Source organism: Homo sapiens, chromosome 6 (genome assembly GCF_000001405.40).
Source record: "Homo sapiens chromosome 6, GRCh38.p14 Primary Assembly".
Taxonomy (NCBI): domain Eukaryota; kingdom Metazoa; phylum Chordata; class Mammalia; order Primates; family Hominidae; genus Homo; species Homo sapiens.
Window position 1 is genome coordinate 43,447,455 of NC_000006.12, and position 16,588 is coordinate 43,464,042.

Sequence of the window (16,588 nt, forward strand, 5' to 3'; positions counted from 1 at the left end):
GCCCCAGTCTCCCTCACAATTCCTTTCTTTTTGCCCACCCATCTTTCTCAGCTCCCATAACCTCTCTTCATGATGACCACAATTCTTCACCATGTCCCTTCTTCCCCATCTCTCATTCTCTCATTCCTCTCACACTGTCCATTTCTCATTATTCTCCCCTCCTCACCATCGCTCCTCATCTCCCCTATCTCCCTTTCCCCGTCTGTCTCCCACCCATGGACCCCACCAGCTGGGCACCGGCTGGCTGACCCAGGGGGGCGTGGAGTTCCAGGACGTGGTGTTGGCGTACCGGCCAGGGCTGCCGAATGCCCTGGATGGAGTGACCTTCTGCGTGCAGCCTGGAGAGAAGTTGGGCATCGTGGGCCGCACAGGCTCCGGCAAGTCTTCCCTGTTGTTGGTGCTCTTCCGGCTGCTAGAGCCCAGTTCAGGGCGAGTGCTGCTGGACGGCGTGGACACCAGCCAGCTGGAGCTGGCCCAGCTCAGGTCTGGGGGAGATGGACTTGGGAGGGGAAGGGGGAACCAGAACTACTGGCACTTAGAGGAGGGCATAGCCAGGAAGGCTTTATATAAACTCACAGCAGCCAGGGCTGATCAGGGGGCTGAAATGGAGGACAGGATGAGCAGGCAAGGACAGCGAACTCCTAGTGCCCAGGTCCAGATTCATGGCTGGTGATCTCAAGGTCTTCCTCGCCCTGACCCAGGCCACCTTTCCAGCTTCATCTTTCTTGTACTTCCTACCATACACCCTCCACTCTTGTGCCCCAAGATACTGATCCCCTGAGTCCTAGGCTCAGCAGGCAGTGCTTCAGACAGCTTGAGACCTGAACCGGTTGCCCTTGGCTTCAGGTGGCCTCACTGGAGGGTATACAACCCTTCCTTACCTCCAGGTCAACCTAGTATCATTTTCTCTGAGTACGGTGACATGGAAAAGGTAGGGAAGCTGTATCCTAAAGCCCTAGGCCTGCCTCTTCTGCCTTCTCTTCTAAGCTGTGGTGGCCCTACCTTATAGCTCCATCATGTCTTCAGGACCCAATTCTAGGCCCACTCCAACCTTGAAGTGTCACCTGCCCTTTCAGTCGCTCTGGTCATTCCCTGCGTAGCCACTGCCACCCCTGGAGTCAGTGCCACACAGTTTAGCCCATTTGTTTTGTCTGGTTTGTGTGTGTGCACCTCCGTGAAATGTAGGCACCTTGAGGACAGAGTCCAGCCTTTGGTTTCTTTGGTATTGCTCATAGCACTGGCACAGTTCTAGGTACCCAGCTACTAACAGATCATTTGGTGGGGATGGGGTGGGGAGCAGAGTGGGGTTATGTTCAGGTCTCATACCCAGGCTTTCATGGAGGTGCTAGCCCTGTAGTCAGAAACTGAGCTGGGAGCAGAAGTGGCTACATCTCCAACCACTAGACTCCATGTCATTGTCCCCCAGATCCCAGTTGGCTATCATCCCCCAGGAGCCCTTTTTGTTCAGTGGGACTGTTCGGGAAAACCTGGACCCCCAGGGCCTACATAAGGACAGGGCCTTGTGGCAGGCCCTGAAGCAGTGCCACCTGAGTGAGGTGATTACATCCATGGGTGAGTGCTGGACCCTGACCTTAGAGCAAGAAGGGAGCAGGGATGGCCTGGGCCCTGCAACGAAGATGCTTTCCTTGCAGGTGGTCTGGATGGTGAGCTGGGTGAGGGGGGCCGGAGCTTATCTCTTGGGCAGAGGCAGCTGTTGTGTTTGGCCAGGGCTCTCCTCACAGATGCCAAGGTAAGGTGAGAGAAAGAGACATTAGAGAGGGCCAGGAAGAAGGCTGGGGGCCGGGAGGTGGGGAGGTAGAGTGGGGAGAGGTTTTAGGGGACCAAGTTCATTTTCCTTTTAGAGCTGGAAGTGGGGAGCTGTGGTAGGGGCTGTTGCTTGGGCCAGGCCCAACCCACCCTGCAGCCTCTCCTTCCTTCTTATCCCCTACCCCATTCCCATATTCCAGATCCTGTGTATCGATGAGGCCACAGCAAGTGTGGACCAGAAGACAGACCAGCTGCTCCAGCAGACCATCTGCAAACGCTTTGCCAACAAGACAGTGCTGACCATTGCCCATAGGTATGTAAACGCCTGGTAACAGCCTAATCAGGGACTGTGGTAGCATGCACCGAGAGCCTCCGTTGCTTTCAGGGACCCCAGTGGTCAGGGCCTTAGAGATCCTGCCCCCCCAGATCTCAGCTCCTCCTTCTCCAGGGACGAGAAGGGTCCTTTATAGCACTGCCTAGGGCCCTTTATAGCACATTATCTGAGGGCCCTTTATAGCACTGCCTAGGGCCCTTTATAGCACATTATCTGAGGGACTCTGCAGTCCCTTCCCCAGCACCAAGCCAGGGGCTAAAGCCTGTGGGGACAGACCTGTGGTGTCCCGAGGGGAGAGGAGGGAAAGCAGGTCAGTGTTCTTACTTAGGGCATTGTCCCTCATCCCCTACACTGACCATCTTCCCCCTCACAGGCTCAACACGATCCTGAACTCAGACCGGGTGCTGGTGCTACAAGCGGGGAGAGTGGTAGAGCTGGACTCCCCGGCCACCCTGCGCAACCAGCCCCACTCCCTGTTCCAGCAGCTGCTGCAGAGCAGCCAGCAGGGAGTCCCTGCCTCACTCGGAGGTCCCTGAGCCCAATCCCACACCCTGCAGAGTTCTCCCCTCTCTCTGATCCAGGCCGGGCCTATACAGAGGTGCTGGCTGCTTGTTTACATTCTCCTCTGGGGCTCTACCTCTCCACACTTCCCCAGAAGGGAAAAGGGCACCCTGGATTACTCTTTGGAAATCACTCCTTGGTGGGCAGCATCCTGAGGCTTCCCCAGAACCAGGCCTCTGCTCTGGCCCTCTTGCATCTGGAACGCCAGGTGGGTTTTTCTGGCATAGGAGCCCACTTGCATTTTCATAGTTTTATTTGATAAAATTCCATCTTACATTCTGTGTATTAAAAAAATAATATTTCTGGTGTGAGGCTGAGGTCTCCTCTGTGTGTGTACCCAAGCTGAAGGGTGGTGAGAACGGACCACTCCAGTCTGAGGGGTGGAAGAGGTGAGGAAGGGGGCCAGAAAGCCCCCACCTCCATCACAGTGCTGTGGTCTTTCCAGGCTCAGGGGGCAAGTCACGTGGCAGGGGGAGCCCTGCTGGCAGCATGCTAACCTGACACTCCTGGTCCTGGCACGCTGGAGCATAGTGTGGGGCAGGGTAGCAACAGGGTCCAGGGGGGCAGACACCCCGGCGCCAGGCCCTCAGGGTCAGCAACACAGTAGCCAGAACCAGGGCAGCAGTGAGGGCCCCAAACACCACCAGGGCCACCAAGCTAGGCTCACCTAGCCCAGCCTCTTGCCTCCGCACCACCTCCTTCACTGAGATCCGCAGCAGACCAGCCCCTGCGCTGTGGGGGGCTGGCCCCGTGGCAGGTACCACTACAGCTGAGGTGGGCCCTAGAGGGGTGTCCACTGTGGTTGGGGGGTCTGGGACAGGTAAGACAAGCTCACAGGTCTTGCCACCATAGCCACTGGGGCAGAGGCAGTCGAAGTCGTGGACACGGTCCCGACAGCGGGCCCCTCTCTGGCATGGGCGGCTGGCACAGTCATCCAGGTTGATGGTGCAGAAGCGTCCAGCAAAGCCCTCAGGACAGAGGCAGGAGAAGCGGTTTATGCCGTCAAGGCAGGTGGCACCGTTAGCACAAGGCCGCATCAGGCAGTCATCCACATTTACCTCACAGCGGGCACCCACAAAGCCCACCAAGCAGCGGCACGTGAAGTTGAGAGCAAAGCCCTGGTCGTCCTGGCACTGCCCGCCATTGCGGCATGGGGAGCTGTGGTAGGGGTGAGAGAGGACATGATAACCAACTTACCAACACCTGTAGGGCAGCCCAGGTCAGTATCCTGACCACTGCCCGCCATGTCATCTTGGGCTACACACTCCGAGCCTCAAATACCTCATTTTAAAAATGAGAATAAAAATAGTACCCAGCTTCCCTAATTGTGAGGGTTGAGTGAAATAATCAATGTCAAGCCATTAGCACAGGGCCCAGCCAGAAGGCAGGGCTCAGGGTAAGTGTGCTATTATTATCCTCACAGGCTCCTGGGCCTGATGCAGAAATGAGGACAAGTCCAGCCCTGCAGGCTGTTTCCTCATCCCTACTGTGACACAGAAGGGTGCAAGCCAGCGTTCAGGAGAGGATGAGGAGAGACCCAGGCCCTTCAGTCTCCCCACACCCACCCTCCCCAACCAGAACAGTCACACGTTTGTTACCCCTCTAGCTCCTATAGATTGTTGAAGAAATGGCTCAGAAGGTACAAAAAAAAAAGTTGAGAAACCCTGAACTAGGAACACTTTGGCATGCAGGGGTTTTATCTGAGTGTCCCCGTGTGGGTCTGACTCTCAGTCCCCCACCCTCCCAACAGTCCTGCCTCTTTTCTCATCCCATCACCAGGTTCTGGTCTAACCTTCCACTCACCCTGAGGGCCCAGCACTCACCCTGCCTGTTCACAGGGTCCAGCCTTGCGCTCGCAGTCACGCCCATGGAAGCCTGGTAAGCACACACAATGGTACTCACCGCCCCCGTCATACATGCACTGGCCTCCATTCTGGCAGGGGGACTGCGTGGTACAGATATGTTCATCTGGAGAGGGGACAGGAAAGGCTCTGGGATAACCCCTCCCATCTGGTCCCCAGACCAGACTTGTCCACGCCTTCCAGGCCCCAGGTTCTGTAGGTGTGGCTATACTACAAACCCAGCCCAGGCTGGCGTGGTATGCTAGGGAGAGACAACAACACTGAATTTGGAGTCAGGAGGCTCCTGGCCCTGGCTCTCAGTCTGTCTCAAACTGACCTTGGGCTGGGTACTGTGGCTCATGCCTGTAATCCCAGCACTTTGGAAGACCAAGGTGGGCAGATGACTTGAGGTCAGGAGTTCAAGACCAGCCTGGCCAACATGGCAAAACCCCATCTCTACTAAAAATACAAACATTAGGCCGGTACAGTGGCTCATGCCTATAATTCCAGCACTTTGGGAGGCCAAGGCGGGTGGATCACTTGAGGTCAGGAGTTCGAGACCAGCCTGGCCAACATGGTGAAACCCTATCTCTACTAAAAATACAAAAATTAGCTGAAGTGGCGGGTGCCTGTAATTCCAGCTACTGGGGAGGCTGAGGCACGAGAATCACTTGAACCCAGGAGGCGGAGGTTACAGTGAGCCGAGATCGCACCACTGCACTCCAGCCTGGGTGACAGAGTGAGACTCCATCTCAAAACAAAACAAACAAAAAAACCTGACTTTGAGCAGGTTATAGCTCTTCTGTGGGCCTTAGTTTCCTCATCTGTAAAATGAGTACAATTTTTAGCAGCTGTGTTTCCTGCCCCATGGGGTTATGTTGAGGATCAATTCAGACAACATATAAAAAGTCTAAGATTTAAAAAAATGATAAAATACCATGTATTTGAGGGTTTGACAAGGACAAAATAGGCACTCAATAAATACTGATGGCTGTTCCCCTAAGAACATGGGGTTCCCAACCAAAAGCTACCCTTCCTCCCCCCTACCTTTGTCACAGAACTTGCCTGCCCAGCCACTGTGGCAGATGCACTGCCATGGCTGGTGGCAGGTACCGTGCTGGCAGCCAGGCATCCTCACACAGCGCTCACAGTGCAGCCCCTCCCAGCCCGGGTCACACCTGACGGGGAGAAGCACAGGGTCAGGGCTCTGGGTCATGGATGTGAAGAAATGGAGGAGACAGAACCAGAGCTTCTAGAAACCAAGAGGACATATGACAGCCCCTAAGGGAAAGCAGACCTGTCCCAGGTAGGTGTAGGACTGTGCAGGGTCATAGGACACATATACGGAATCAGACCATCAGACACCAGCACTCAAACCCTGGTTCTGTACTTTAACCTGAGCCTCAGTTTTCTCACCTGTAAATTGGGGATACACCTTGCAGGGTTGAGTAGAGGAAGAAATAAGATGTCTGTAAATGCCTCCAGTACCCCTCCTGGCATGTCTGAGGTGCTCACAAACATTTAAAGAAGAATGACCTTGAAAGGCCATCAGGGCCGGGGCGTGGTTGCTCACGCCTGTAATCCCAGCACTTTGGGAGGTCGAGGCAGGTGGATCACTTGAGGTCAGGAGTTCAAGACCAGCCTGGCCAACTGGGTGAAACCCCGTCTCTACAAAAAATACAAAAAATTACCCGGGCATGGTGGTGTGCATCTGTAATCCATTATTGAGGAGGCTGAGGCAGGGGAACTTGAACACAAGAGGCAGAGGCTGCAGTGAGCTGAGATCGCGCCACTGCACTCCAGCCTTGGCAACAAAGCGAGACTCTGTCTCAAAAACAAAAAATAAAAATAAAAACAAAAAAGGTCATCAGGACTATCCTCCCACCATGATTCCAGGGCAAACACTTGACCCATATTTTAAAAGCCCTCCAGGGGTGAAGAGTCTCAAAGACCCCCAGCCAATTGAACTACCTGCCTCATCAACTCATTTCCTTATGTCCACTTTCCTCCTGCTACAGAATTTGCCCAATCTCCCAGTGAGTCAACTACTCAAACTCATCAAGAAAGATCCTCTTTCATTGTAAGTGTTTCTCCCCAGCAACTCTCCCTGCAGCATTTCTTTTCCAGGCTAAACCATTTCTCTTTCCCTTTTTCCTTTATCTTTCCATTTCCTCATGGCACCCAATCCCCAAGCTCTCTCAAGCTTTAGGTCTCTCTCCCTGTCAGGAGTTCAGACAATCCCTGGATCAGACTTGGGAGATTAAAGAAGTGGGGAGATAAAAACTAGAAGAAGCAAGAGAGGTGAGGTAAAGGGGAAAGGGGGACTGGCCAGTCAGCCATAGGAGTGATGAGGCATGAAGAGTAGAGTCTGAAGCCCCTAGACACTGTTGTGCACGTGAAGGGCTTAGAAATGGGTACCAAAGGGTTTGGGGGCACGTGCTCAGGACAGGTACCTGCAGGAGCCGTCAGGTGCACAGCAGCCGTGGGCCAGGTCACAGTGGGAGCTGCAGTCATCGGCTGCAAGAGATTGATGTGGGAGGGGTGAGTCTGAGTCAGGGCACAGCTCGCTGGGATGCGGGACTCAGGAGAGGATTGGGGTTCCAGTAACTGAGCGGACTCAACCCTAGGGCAGGACATAACACAGAAACTCATCCCATTCCAAAAAGGCAACCTCGGTCTTGCTTGCCCCGCGGGTCGGAGCGACTGCAGTGCCGCCTCCGGCCGGCAGAGGTCAACGTGCAAGCGAGGACGGCTGGACAGGGCCGCGACTGGAGCCCAGCGGGCGCGCTCACCTCGGACAGGCTGACCGGGAGCCCCCAGAATGCACAACAGGCACACGAGATGCAGGCAGCGGCAGCCGCTGGGCATGGTCAGCGCCGGCCCCAGGAGGGACGGACGGATGGACGGCCGGACGCGTGGACACCTGTGGGACGGCACCGGTTGGGAGGCGGCCGGACGCGGAGATAGCGGCACGGATACGGGTTCCAAGTGACAGGAGCCGACGAGGGAGAGGGGCGCCGGGACAGAAGAAGGGGATGGGGGTAGCGGGAGGATGGGGGCAGGGAAGGGTTGAGCAGGCGAAGAGAGCGAGGAGAGCGAAGACAGGAACCCGGGAGCGGGGTCTGCAAGGAGGGGAAAGATGGGCATCGCGGAGCGAGGCCAGGCGCGGGAATGGCTGGGGTTGGGATCGTAGTCAGGACGGAGGGGTCCGCGGGATGGGGACAGCGCCGAGAGGCGGCCTCGAGCACGGAGGGGACGCGGGGGCCGGAGGGAAGGACGGTTCCCGGCAGCGAGCAGTCTCCGCCCCACAGCTCCGACAGCCCCCCCCCCCGCCACCACCACTCTCTCCCACGTCCCCTTTCTATCTCCGCCGCGCTGGGTTCGGCGGCGGCGCGGGGCCTGGAATCCCCACCGCGCCCTGTCCCCGCAGTCCTCACCTCCGGCGGGGAGGTGGCGCGCCCCGGGGCGCAGAGAGAGGCCGGATCCGACGGGCGCCGCCGAGGGGCCGTGAGGGAGCGCGGGGCCGCCCCTAGCTGGCCGCGGGGCCGGGCGCCGAAGCGGCTGCCATGCGAGCCGAGCGCTCGGGAATCTGGGGCTCCAGGCGACCCCGAGCGGCGGCAGCGGCTGCTCCTCGCGCGCGCTCAGGCCCCCTGCCAGGGGCGGAGCCCGCCCCCACCCCCATCCCCCCCCCCGCGACGCACGGCGCACACCTAGCACCCGGCGCGCCCCGGGGCCCCGGCCCTCCGCGGCTACCCAACGCCCCGAACCCAGCTTCCTTCCAAGAGAGGAGGAAATCTTAGGAGTCTCAATGGGAGCAAACTATTAAGCCAAAGGAGCGCAACCCCGTTATTCTCTCATCTCCCATGCCCACTTTCCCGACCAGCGCTCCGCGGCCCACGCCCCAGCCCTGCCTTCGCTTGTCCGCCGCTCATCACGCTTCTCATATAGATCTATGCACACGCAGGCAATCGCTCCCCGCCCTCCGCCTGTCACCAGCCCACGCCTCCCCGCTTGTAAAGCCTTCATCACCTGCTTCATCTGTGTGCTCCTCTGCTCCTCCTCGCCCTCCGCTTCTTCCTGTCCACGTTGCCGTCTCCAGCCTTCCAAGATCAACCTATCCCTATATAAATATCAACCCGATCCACCCAACCACACCCCGGCCCTACCCCCACCACCCTTCCCTCCCTCAAGTCTCAGCCCTTCCACCCCATTCCTTTTTGTGACTGCCTCTGAGAATCCTTTCTGGACTGGGAATGCCCCTGACTCTGTAAATGTGCACACAAAACCCCCTCCACCGCCAAGTCTTCTCCTGTACCCCATCACGTTCGTCCTTGGCCTCAGGCTAAACCTCAACTGCCCAAACCTGGAGCTCAGATTCAGAGAGTAACGGAGGGGGAGTGGGGGAAAGCTGCCCTCCAGGCCTCTTTGCCCCCTTCTGGCTAATGGCTCAGAGACACATTTCAAGACAAGGACCCAGCCAAGCTCGGTGGGCTCACGCCTATAATTCCAGCACTTTGGGAGGCTGAGGCGGGCGGATCACCTGAGGTCAGGAGTTCGAGACCAGCCTGGCCAACATGGTGAAACCCGTCTCTATTAAAAATACAGAAATTAGCCAGGCGTGGTGGTGCGCGCCTGTAATCCCAGCTACTCGGAAGGCTGAGGCAGGAAAATCGCTTGAAAACCCGGGAGGCAGACGTTGCAGTTAGCCAAGATCGCGCCACTGCACTCCAGCTTGGGGGACAGAGCAAAACTCCGACCCCCGCCCCCCCCCAAAAAAAGACAAGGACCCAGAACATAATTTCTAGTTTGTGCAGGACAACAGGGCAGAGGTCAGGAACGCTAGCGCCCATCTCTAGTCCTTCAGATTGAGATTTCACCATCTTTAAATTCAAAACATCGGAAGGAGCAGTCGCTAGTCGGGGCAGAGCAGCTTCCCACCTTCACACAGCCACCTCCACAGGCACAGAGCCCCAGGGCTCATTTTTCCTGCAGTCTCCATTGGATATAACACTTACACCCACTCAGCTCCCTAGCTGGCCTCCTCTCAGCTGTGATCGCCTCTTCCCTGAAGAGCTCTCTGAATTTGAGTAATGACATGGCTGTACCATTCATTTTGTTTAAACACATTTTTTTTTTTGGTGAAAAATTGCAAACAACCTATAATTCAAAAATTACTGTAGGCAAATAAATTATGGCACATCAACACTATGTGACTGTTAAAAATACTTTTTTTTTTTTTTGACGTCTAAAGATGTCCAAAAAAGCTAAGAATATGTAAAGTGCGGTGGGGGGAAGCCGGAAACAAAGAAGAACGTACTTTGACATTGGCAGTGCTTTTCTCTGGATGATCGAATTATAGAGGTTTTTTTTTTTTTCTTATTAATACTTTTCAGCATTAACACTTTTTTTTTTTTTTTTTTTTTTTTTTTTGAGACGGAGTCTCGCTTTGTGGCCCAAGCTGGAGTGCAGTGGCGCTATCTCGGCTCTCTGCAAGCTCCGCCTCCCAGGTTCACGCCATTCTCCTGCCTCAACGTCCCAAGTAGCTGGGACTACAGGCGCCCACCACCCCGCCCGGCTAATTTTTTTTTGTATTTTTAGTAAAGACGGGGTTTCACCATGGTAGCCAGGATGGTCTTGATTTCCTGACCTCGTGATCCGCCCGCCTCGACCTCCCAAAGTGCTGGGATTACAGGCGTGAGCCACCGCGCCCGCCCCTTTTTTTTTTTTTTTAAACAATGAACATCTATAACTTGTTTTTTGTTGTTGTTTGTTTGTTTTTCCTTGAGATTATCACTCTGTCGCCCAGGCTGGAGTGCAGTAGTGCAACCTCAGCTCAGTACAACCTCGTCTCAGCCTCCAGTATAGCTGGAATTGCAGGCACAGCGCCACCACGCCCAGCTAATTTTTTTTTCTCGAGACTTTCAGTGCTTTTCTCTGTCAGATATCATTATCTGACATTATATTAAATATTTATTGTTTATTGACCATCTCCCCACTACAAAGCAAACTCCAGAGGTCTGGGATGTTTTCTTGCTCATCACAGCATCCCCAGTGTCTAAAACAATGCCTGGCATAGTAGGTATTCAATAAATTTTTTTAAAATTCTGTTTGTTTAATTAACTCTTTTTTTTTTTTTTTTTTTTTGAGACAGGGTCTCGCTCTGTCACCCAGGCTGAAGTGCAATGGCTCCATCTTGGCTCACTGCAACCTCCGCCTCCCGGGTTCAAGCAATTCTTCTGCCTCAGCCTCCCGAGTAGCTGGGATTACAGGCGCGCCCCCACCAAGCCAGGCTAATTTTTGTATTTGTAGTGGAGACAGGGTTTCGCCATGTTGGCCAGGCTGGTTTACAACTCCTGACCTCAGGTCATCTGCCCGCTTGGCCTCCCAAAGTGCTGGGATCACAGGCGTGAGCCACTGCCCTCGGCCTGCCCAGTTAATTTTTGCATTTTCAGTAGAGACGGGGTTTCGCCATGTTGGCCCGGCTAGTCTCGAAGTGACCCCAAGTGGTCCACCGGCCTTGGCCTCCCAAAGTGCTAGGGTTACAGGCATGAGTCACCGTGCCCAGCCTAACATTTTTTTAGAATAAAGTAAAAAGAAAAAGGCCAGGTGCGGTGGCTCACGCCTGTAATCCCAACACTTTGGGAGGCTGAGGTGAGAGGATCATGAGGTCAGGAGATCGAGACCATCCTGGCTAACACGGTGAAGCCCCGTCTCTACTAAAAATACAAAAAATTAGCTGGGTGTGGTGGCAGGCGCCTGTAGTCCCAGCTACTCGGGAGGCTGAGGCAGGAGAATGGCATGAACCCAGGGGGCGGAGCTTGCAGTGAGCCGAGATAGCACCACTGCACTCCAGCCTGGGTGACAGAGCGAGACTCCGTCTCAAAAAAAAAAAAAAAAAGAAAGCAAACTGGCTGGGCGCGGTGGCTCACGCCTGTAAATCCAGCACTTTGGGAGGCCAAGGCAGGCAGATCACCTGAGGTCAGGAGTTCGAGACCAGCCTCACCACCATGGAGAAAACCTGTCTCTACTAAAAATACAAAATTAGCCGGGCGTGGTGGCACCTGCCTTTAATCCCAGCTACTTGAGAGGCTGAGGCAGGAGAATCGCTTGCACCTGGGAGGCAGAGGTTGCGGTGAGCCTAGATCATGCCACTGCACTCTAGCCTGGGCAACAAGAGCAAGACTCCATCTCAAAGAAAAGGAAAGGAAAAAAACCACCCACAATCCTACTAGCTTGAGAAAACCACAATTATTGTTGTTTTGATTCCTTTTTTCCATTCAGATATTTTTACAGAGGTATAATCATAATGTACCTACAGTATTGTATCCTGCTTTTTTTTACTCCATGTCATATATTGATAGTTCTCAAAAGCATTTTTTATGGCTATGTGATATTCCATTAAATAGATATACTATATTTACTTTACTTAGCCCTAGTTATTGGCTGCTTAGGTTGTTTACTTTTTTTGTCATTATAAATTCATTCAACAAATATTGAGTAGTCATATATTACCATTAGATACCAGAGCCACTGAGGATACAGCTCCCAGATAATATTTATTAGTGCCACACATTTTTATGAAGGTAGGTTTTTTCCCCATGTTTTAGGCTCCTTCCTTATGATCAAGTCTGAATTGATGAGTGACTGAGTCAAAGAAGTCATGAAAAATAAATTCTTTTTAACTGATAAAATGTACTGAGATTCACTCATGAAATAATAAAGGTAGTTGATGCCATTAGAGGTATCACTTAGTGCCCCCTTGTGCTTTGAAGATTTTAGCACCTGGCTTGTCAGTCTCTTCACTCTCACTTCTGTCAAATTATTGGTGATTCTTGATGATTCAATATGACATAGACAGTTCTTCCAACAAGTGTGATAGATTGCAAAGATGGCCACTTTTCTTCCTCCTGTTCTACAAGACGCTTTGCAATTATTTTGCTGCTTTTCCCAGCAAGAGGTGGAGTATATTTCTCAACCTCTTGCTTGAATCTGGGCTGGCCTTATGACTTGCTTTAGCTGATAGAATGGGGTAGAAATGATGTTGTGTGAGTTCCTAGGGTCTAGGTCTCAAGAGACTTGCAGCTTGCCGCTTTGCCTCTTAGAATGCTTCCAACATCATGTCAAGAAGTCCATCTAGCCTACTGGAAGATGAAACGCCCCGTGGAGGAGAGCTGAGGTACCCTGGCCAACAACCACTAGACGTGCAGTCATATTGGATTACCTGGCCCCAGTTAAGCTTCCAGATGACTGCAGCCACATGAGTGAACCTAGGCAAGACAAACAGAAGAACTGCTCAGCAGAGCCCAGCCCATATTGCCAAGCTATAAGCAGATAAATGGTGGTTGTTTTAAGCCACTAAATTTTGGAATGGTTTGTTAATATAGCAATAGATATCTGATAAAACCAGCTTCTCATTTCCTTGATTTCTTCCTCTCCAGTGAGAAAGATGATCCCACCCTAAACCTTGTTGCTACCAATAGCTTCACACACTCCATCATCTCTATTTTAAGTATCACACTTTCCTATTACCAACTCCTATCTTTCCAGACCATGACCTCTAGCACCTTGGCTCAAACAATTCTGCTAACCCACTGCGATCTCTCATAAAAGCCACATCATGGCTTTCATGGGCCTTAGCCATTTCACCTTAGTGGGTCCCTTCCTCCATAAAAGAATATTAAAAATTATATTACATAACTACATCAGTATAAGGACTACTATAATCCAGGCTGAATTCATTTTTTTTTTTTTTTGAGATGGAGTTTTGCTGTTGTTGCCCAGGCTGGAGTGCAACGGCACGATCTTGGCTCACCGCAACCTCCACCTCCCAGGTTCAAGCGATTCTCCTGCCTCAGCCTCCCAAGTAGCTGGGATTGCAGGCAAGTGCCACCATACCCAGCTAATTTTGTATTTTTAGTAGAGACAGGTTTTCTCCATTTTGGTGAGGCTGGTCTCGAACTCCCGACCTCAGGTGATCTGCCTGCCTTGGCTTCCCAAAGTGCTGGGATTACAGGCGTGAGCCACTGTGCCTGGCCTGAATTCATTATTATATACTTATTTTTATTGTATTCATTTTTTCTTCTGATTTTAAAATAAATTCAAAACGAAAACATTTTGTGGGCCCTTAAAAGTATTATAGAACTTAGGCACTGTGCCTACTGTGAATAAGTCAGCCTGTCAGCCTTGTCTTTCTTTTTCTTTTTCTTTTTTTTTTTTTTTTTGAGACAGAGCCTCACTCTGTCCCCCAGGCCAGAGTGCAATGGCACGATCTCAGCTCACTGCAACCTCCATCTCCCGGGTTCAAGTGATTCTACTGCCTCAGCCTCAGCCTCCTGAGTAGTTGGGATTATAGACACGTGACACCACGTCCAGCTAATTTTTTGTATTTTTAGTAGGGATGGGGTTTTACCATGTTGGCCAGGCTGGTCTCGAACTCCTGACCTCAGGTGATCCACCCGCCTCAGCCTCCCAAAGTGCTGGGATTTCAGGCGTGAGCCACCGCGCCTGGGCCCGGCCTTGTCTTTTATTTGTTGATTCTATCTCCTTTTCACCATCCCCTATCCCCATCACATCCACCCTTCCGCTTCCTCAGCTTTGATTCCATGCCTCATCATTATAATTAGTCACTTGCATACATGCTTAACTCCCTGGCCCCCTCTCCCTCCATCATATTCATGTGGCAAAACTCCACTGCTGTGACTTCTTTTTTTTTTTTCTGATACGCAGTCTTGCTCTGTCGCCCAGGCTGGAGTGCAGTGGTGCGATCTCGGCTCACTGAAACCTCCACATCCCGGATTCAAGCAATCCTCTTGCCTCAGCCTCCTGAGTAGCTGGGATTACAGGCACCTACCACCACACCCGGCTAATTTTTTTTTGTATTTTTAGTAGAGACGGGGTTTCACTGTGTTGGCCAGGATGGTCTCAGTCTCCTGACCTTGTGATCCACCTGCCTCAGCCTCCTATAGTGCTAGGATTACAGGCATGAGCCACTGCGCCCAGCCGCTGTGACTTCTTCAGCCTTCACCCAAACAGCTGAAGAAACATACCTCCCAACTAGCTGGTCTCACTTAAATTCATGACCTTCAAATGCTGTTTGTGTTGATCACCAATACTCTCGGATTTCCTTAGCTCTGTACACTCCTCCACCCACCCCAACAATTATTTTATTCTCCTCTCTCCTCCAACCTCCACCCCCTCCTCCTCTCTGCTCACTCTGTTGATGGTCTTGCTCTCAACTTCATGGAGAAAATAGAAGCAATCTGAAAGAATTTCCACACGCCCCCTCCATCTACCTGCATCTGTCTCCATATATTCTGACATCCCTCTTGTTACTGTACGTGAACTGCCTGTGCTCTTACCTAAGTGAACTCCTTCACCTGGGCACTAGTTCACATCCTCTCTCATCAGGTCTCTCTGATTTCTCTCCTTCTCTTCTGCATCATCAGTTTGCTTGCCTCTACGAGAGCATTGTCATCAACCTCTCTCAGATCTTAAATAAATAAGTAAATCACCTCCCTCAACCCCCTACATTTGTCTGCTCTTCTTTACTGAAAACTCTTCAAAAATATTAGTCTATCCTTGCTCTCTTCACCTCCTCTCCTCTTATTCTCTCTTGAACCCACTCTCACCCCACCATTCCAGAATCACTCTTGTAAAGTTCACCAATGCCCTCACCACTGCCAAATCCAATGATTAATTCTCAGTCCTCACCTCACTGGCTCTGTTAACTGCATTTGCCACAGTTTACTGGGTTTCTGGGATCACTCACTAGCTTCTTCACCTACTGCAATGGCCACCCCTTCTCGGTCTCTTTTGCATCCTCCTCATCTTCCCAACATGTTCCTCAGCCCCAGGGCTCCATCCTCAGACCTCTTGTCTTTTCTATCTTCACTCCCTCCTTTCATGATCTCATCCAGCCTAACTGCTTGGAATGGCTATAACTTAACGACTCCCAAATTTATGTTTCCAGTCAAGCTTTATCCCTGAAATCCAGACTCGTGTGTCTGGCTGGGCATGGTGGCTCATGCCTGGTAAGCCCAGCACTTTGGGAGGCTGAGGTGGGAGGATCGCTTGAGCCCAGAAGTTTGAGACTTCAGTTTTGTTGCTCAGGCCTGAGCAACATAACAAGACCCTGTCCTTATGAAAATAAATAAATTAATTAATTAATTTAAAAATAAATTTGGTAGTACCAGACTTGTGTGTCTGACTGCTGCAAACTCCTGATCTCCAGCCCAAATAGTTTTCCTTTGTCAGCTGTACCCATTCCAGTCCATGGCTAGTCCATCTGTCTAGTTGTTTAGCCCCCAATCTTGGGGTCATGCTTGATTCTCCTCTTTCTCCTATAATCCACATCCTGCAAATTCCATTGCCTCTGCCTTCAAATTCATCCAGAATCTGACCACTTTTCACAATGTGACCTCTAACACCCTAGTTCAAGCCCCCATTATCTTTTGCCTGGACTACTGCAATGGCCTCTTTGGTTTTGTTTTTGTTGCTGTTGTTTTTGAGACGGAGTTTTGCTCTTGTTGCCCAGGCTGGAGTGCAATGGTGCCATCTGGTCTCACTGCAACCTCTGCCTCCCGGGTTCAAGGAATTCTCCTGCCTTAGCCTCCCGAGTAGCTGGGATTACAGGCATGCGCCACCATGCCTGGTTAATTTTGGATTTTTAGTAGAGATGGAGTTTCTCCATGTTGGTCAGGGTGGTCTCGAACTCCTGACCTCAGGTGATCCACCCACCTCAGCCTCCCAAAGTGTTGGGCCGCAATTGCTTCTTAATTGGTCTTCTATTATGCAGCAGCCAGGGTGATCCTGATGGAAAGAAAATGGAAGCCAGCTAAGTGTGATGTATTATCCCAAACTGGATTCTGAAACAGAAAAACATCAATAGTGGTAAAACTGGCAAAGTCTGAATAAAGTCTAGAATTTAGCTTATACCAGGGTACTAACGTTGGCTTCTTAGTTTTGACAAATGTACCATGATAAGGTATAATGTTAACACTAAGGGAAATTGGGTGAGTCATATTTGGGAAATCTCTATACAATCTTTGGAACTTTTCTATAAATCTAAAATTATTCAAAAATTAAA

The 16,588-nt window shown here is 51.8% G+C and overlaps 2 protein-coding genes across 25 annotated transcripts in view, besides 6 other annotated features; one reads left to right on the forward strand and one right to left on the reverse strand.

Annotated features, from left to right (window-relative positions):
- The window catches only part of ABCC10 (ATP binding cassette subfamily C member 10), a 24,454-nt gene extending 19,914 nt beyond the window's left edge, over positions 1-4,540 (forward strand). For 11 of the 16 annotated variants that reach the window (NR_146762.2, XM_047419494.1, NM_001198934.2 and 8 more), the window contains 5 exons: positions 230-483; positions 1,427-1,572; positions 1,653-1,750; positions 1,968-2,080; positions 2,475-2,973. Coding sequence is in view for 14 of the 16 variants with exons in the window: in XM_047419494.1 (XP_047275450.1) it covers positions 230-483; positions 1,427-1,572; positions 1,653-1,750; positions 1,968-2,080; positions 2,475-2,637 (774 nt within the window). In the remaining 2 variants the exon portion in view is untranslated. Of the gene's footprint in view, positions 1-51; positions 145-229; positions 484-1,426; positions 1,573-1,652; positions 1,756-1,967; positions 2,081-2,474; positions 2,974-4,441 lie in introns of those variants that run through there. The other 5 variants (XR_007059383.1, XM_047419496.1, XM_047419497.1 and 2 more) reach the window with 5 other exon arrangements.
- On the reverse strand, positions 2,898-9,178 carry DLK2 (delta like non-canonical Notch ligand 2). Of its 9 annotated transcripts, none has more exons than NM_001286655.1 (6): positions 8,533-9,178; positions 7,296-7,426; positions 6,957-7,020; positions 5,569-5,681; positions 4,486-4,537; positions 2,898-3,820 (listed from the first exon to the last, which is right to left on the reverse strand). In NM_001286655.1, exons 2-6 carry the CDS (start codon positions 7,369-7,371, stop codon positions 3,085-3,087), a joined length of 1,041 nt encoding a protein of 346 aa, NP_001273584.1. In that variant the 5' UTR covers positions 7,372-7,426; positions 8,533-9,178; the 3' UTR covers positions 2,898-3,084. The 9 variants fall into 9 exon arrangements, with proteins under 9 accessions (NP_001273584.1, XP_047275220.1, NP_996262.1 ...); XM_047419264.1 differs by having other exon boundaries at positions 5,551-5,681; NM_206539.2 differs by having other exon boundaries at positions 4,486-4,630; positions 5,551-5,681.
- Positions 7,073-7,122: an enhancer, noted in NCBI's record as "active region_24601". NCBI's record gives its function as "activates an Ori minimal core promoter by ATAC-STARR-seq in GM12878 lymphoblastoid cells {active_cell/tissue: GM12878}" and the evidence as "EXISTENCE:reporter gene assay evidence [ECO:0000049][PMID:35858748]".
- Positions 7,653-7,732: a silencer, noted in NCBI's record as "silent region_17229". NCBI's record gives its function as "represses an Ori minimal core promoter by ATAC-STARR-seq in GM12878 lymphoblastoid cells {active_cell/tissue: GM12878}" and the evidence as "EXISTENCE:reporter gene assay evidence [ECO:0000049][PMID:35858748]".
- Positions 7,763-7,812: a silencer, noted in NCBI's record as "silent region_17230". NCBI's record gives its function as "represses an Ori minimal core promoter by ATAC-STARR-seq in GM12878 lymphoblastoid cells {active_cell/tissue: GM12878}" and the evidence as "EXISTENCE:reporter gene assay evidence [ECO:0000049][PMID:35858748]".
- Positions 7,913-8,152: a silencer, noted in NCBI's record as "silent region_17231". NCBI's record gives its function as "represses an Ori minimal core promoter by ATAC-STARR-seq in GM12878 lymphoblastoid cells {active_cell/tissue: GM12878}" and the evidence as "EXISTENCE:reporter gene assay evidence [ECO:0000049][PMID:35858748]".
- Positions 8,751-9,592: an enhancer, noted in NCBI's record as "H3K4me1 hESC enhancer chr6:43423943-43424784 (GRCh37/hg19 assembly coordinates)". NCBI's record gives its function as "activates a minimal SCP1, AML or CMV promoter by ChIP-STARR-seq in naive H9 embryonic stem cells {active_cell/tissue: H9 hESC(naive)}" and the evidence as "EXISTENCE:reporter gene assay evidence [ECO:0000049][PMID:30033119]".
- Positions 14,843-15,043: a silencer, noted in NCBI's record as "peak5814 fragment used in MPRA reporter construct". NCBI's record gives its function as "represses an SCP1 promoter by STARR-seq MPRAs in K562 erythroleukemia cells {active_cell/tissue: K562}" and the evidence as "EXISTENCE:reporter gene assay evidence [ECO:0000049][PMID:32103011]".

Excerpts from the sequence above, each read along its gene's own strand:
- DLK2 (XM_005249308.6), bottom strand. The coding sequence starts at position 7,650 with ATGCCCATCTTTCCCCTCCTTGCAGACCCCGCTCCCGGGTTCCTGTCT. Across the intron at positions 7,021-7,295 it reads TCCCGGTCAGCCTGTCCGAG|CCGATGACTGCAGCTCCCAC; the intron begins GTGAGCGCGCCC and ends AATCTCTTGCAG. Across the intron at positions 3,821-4,485 it reads GGACCCTGTGAACAGGCAGG|CTCCCCATGCCGCAATGGCG; the intron begins GTGAGTGCTGGG and ends CCCCTACCACAG.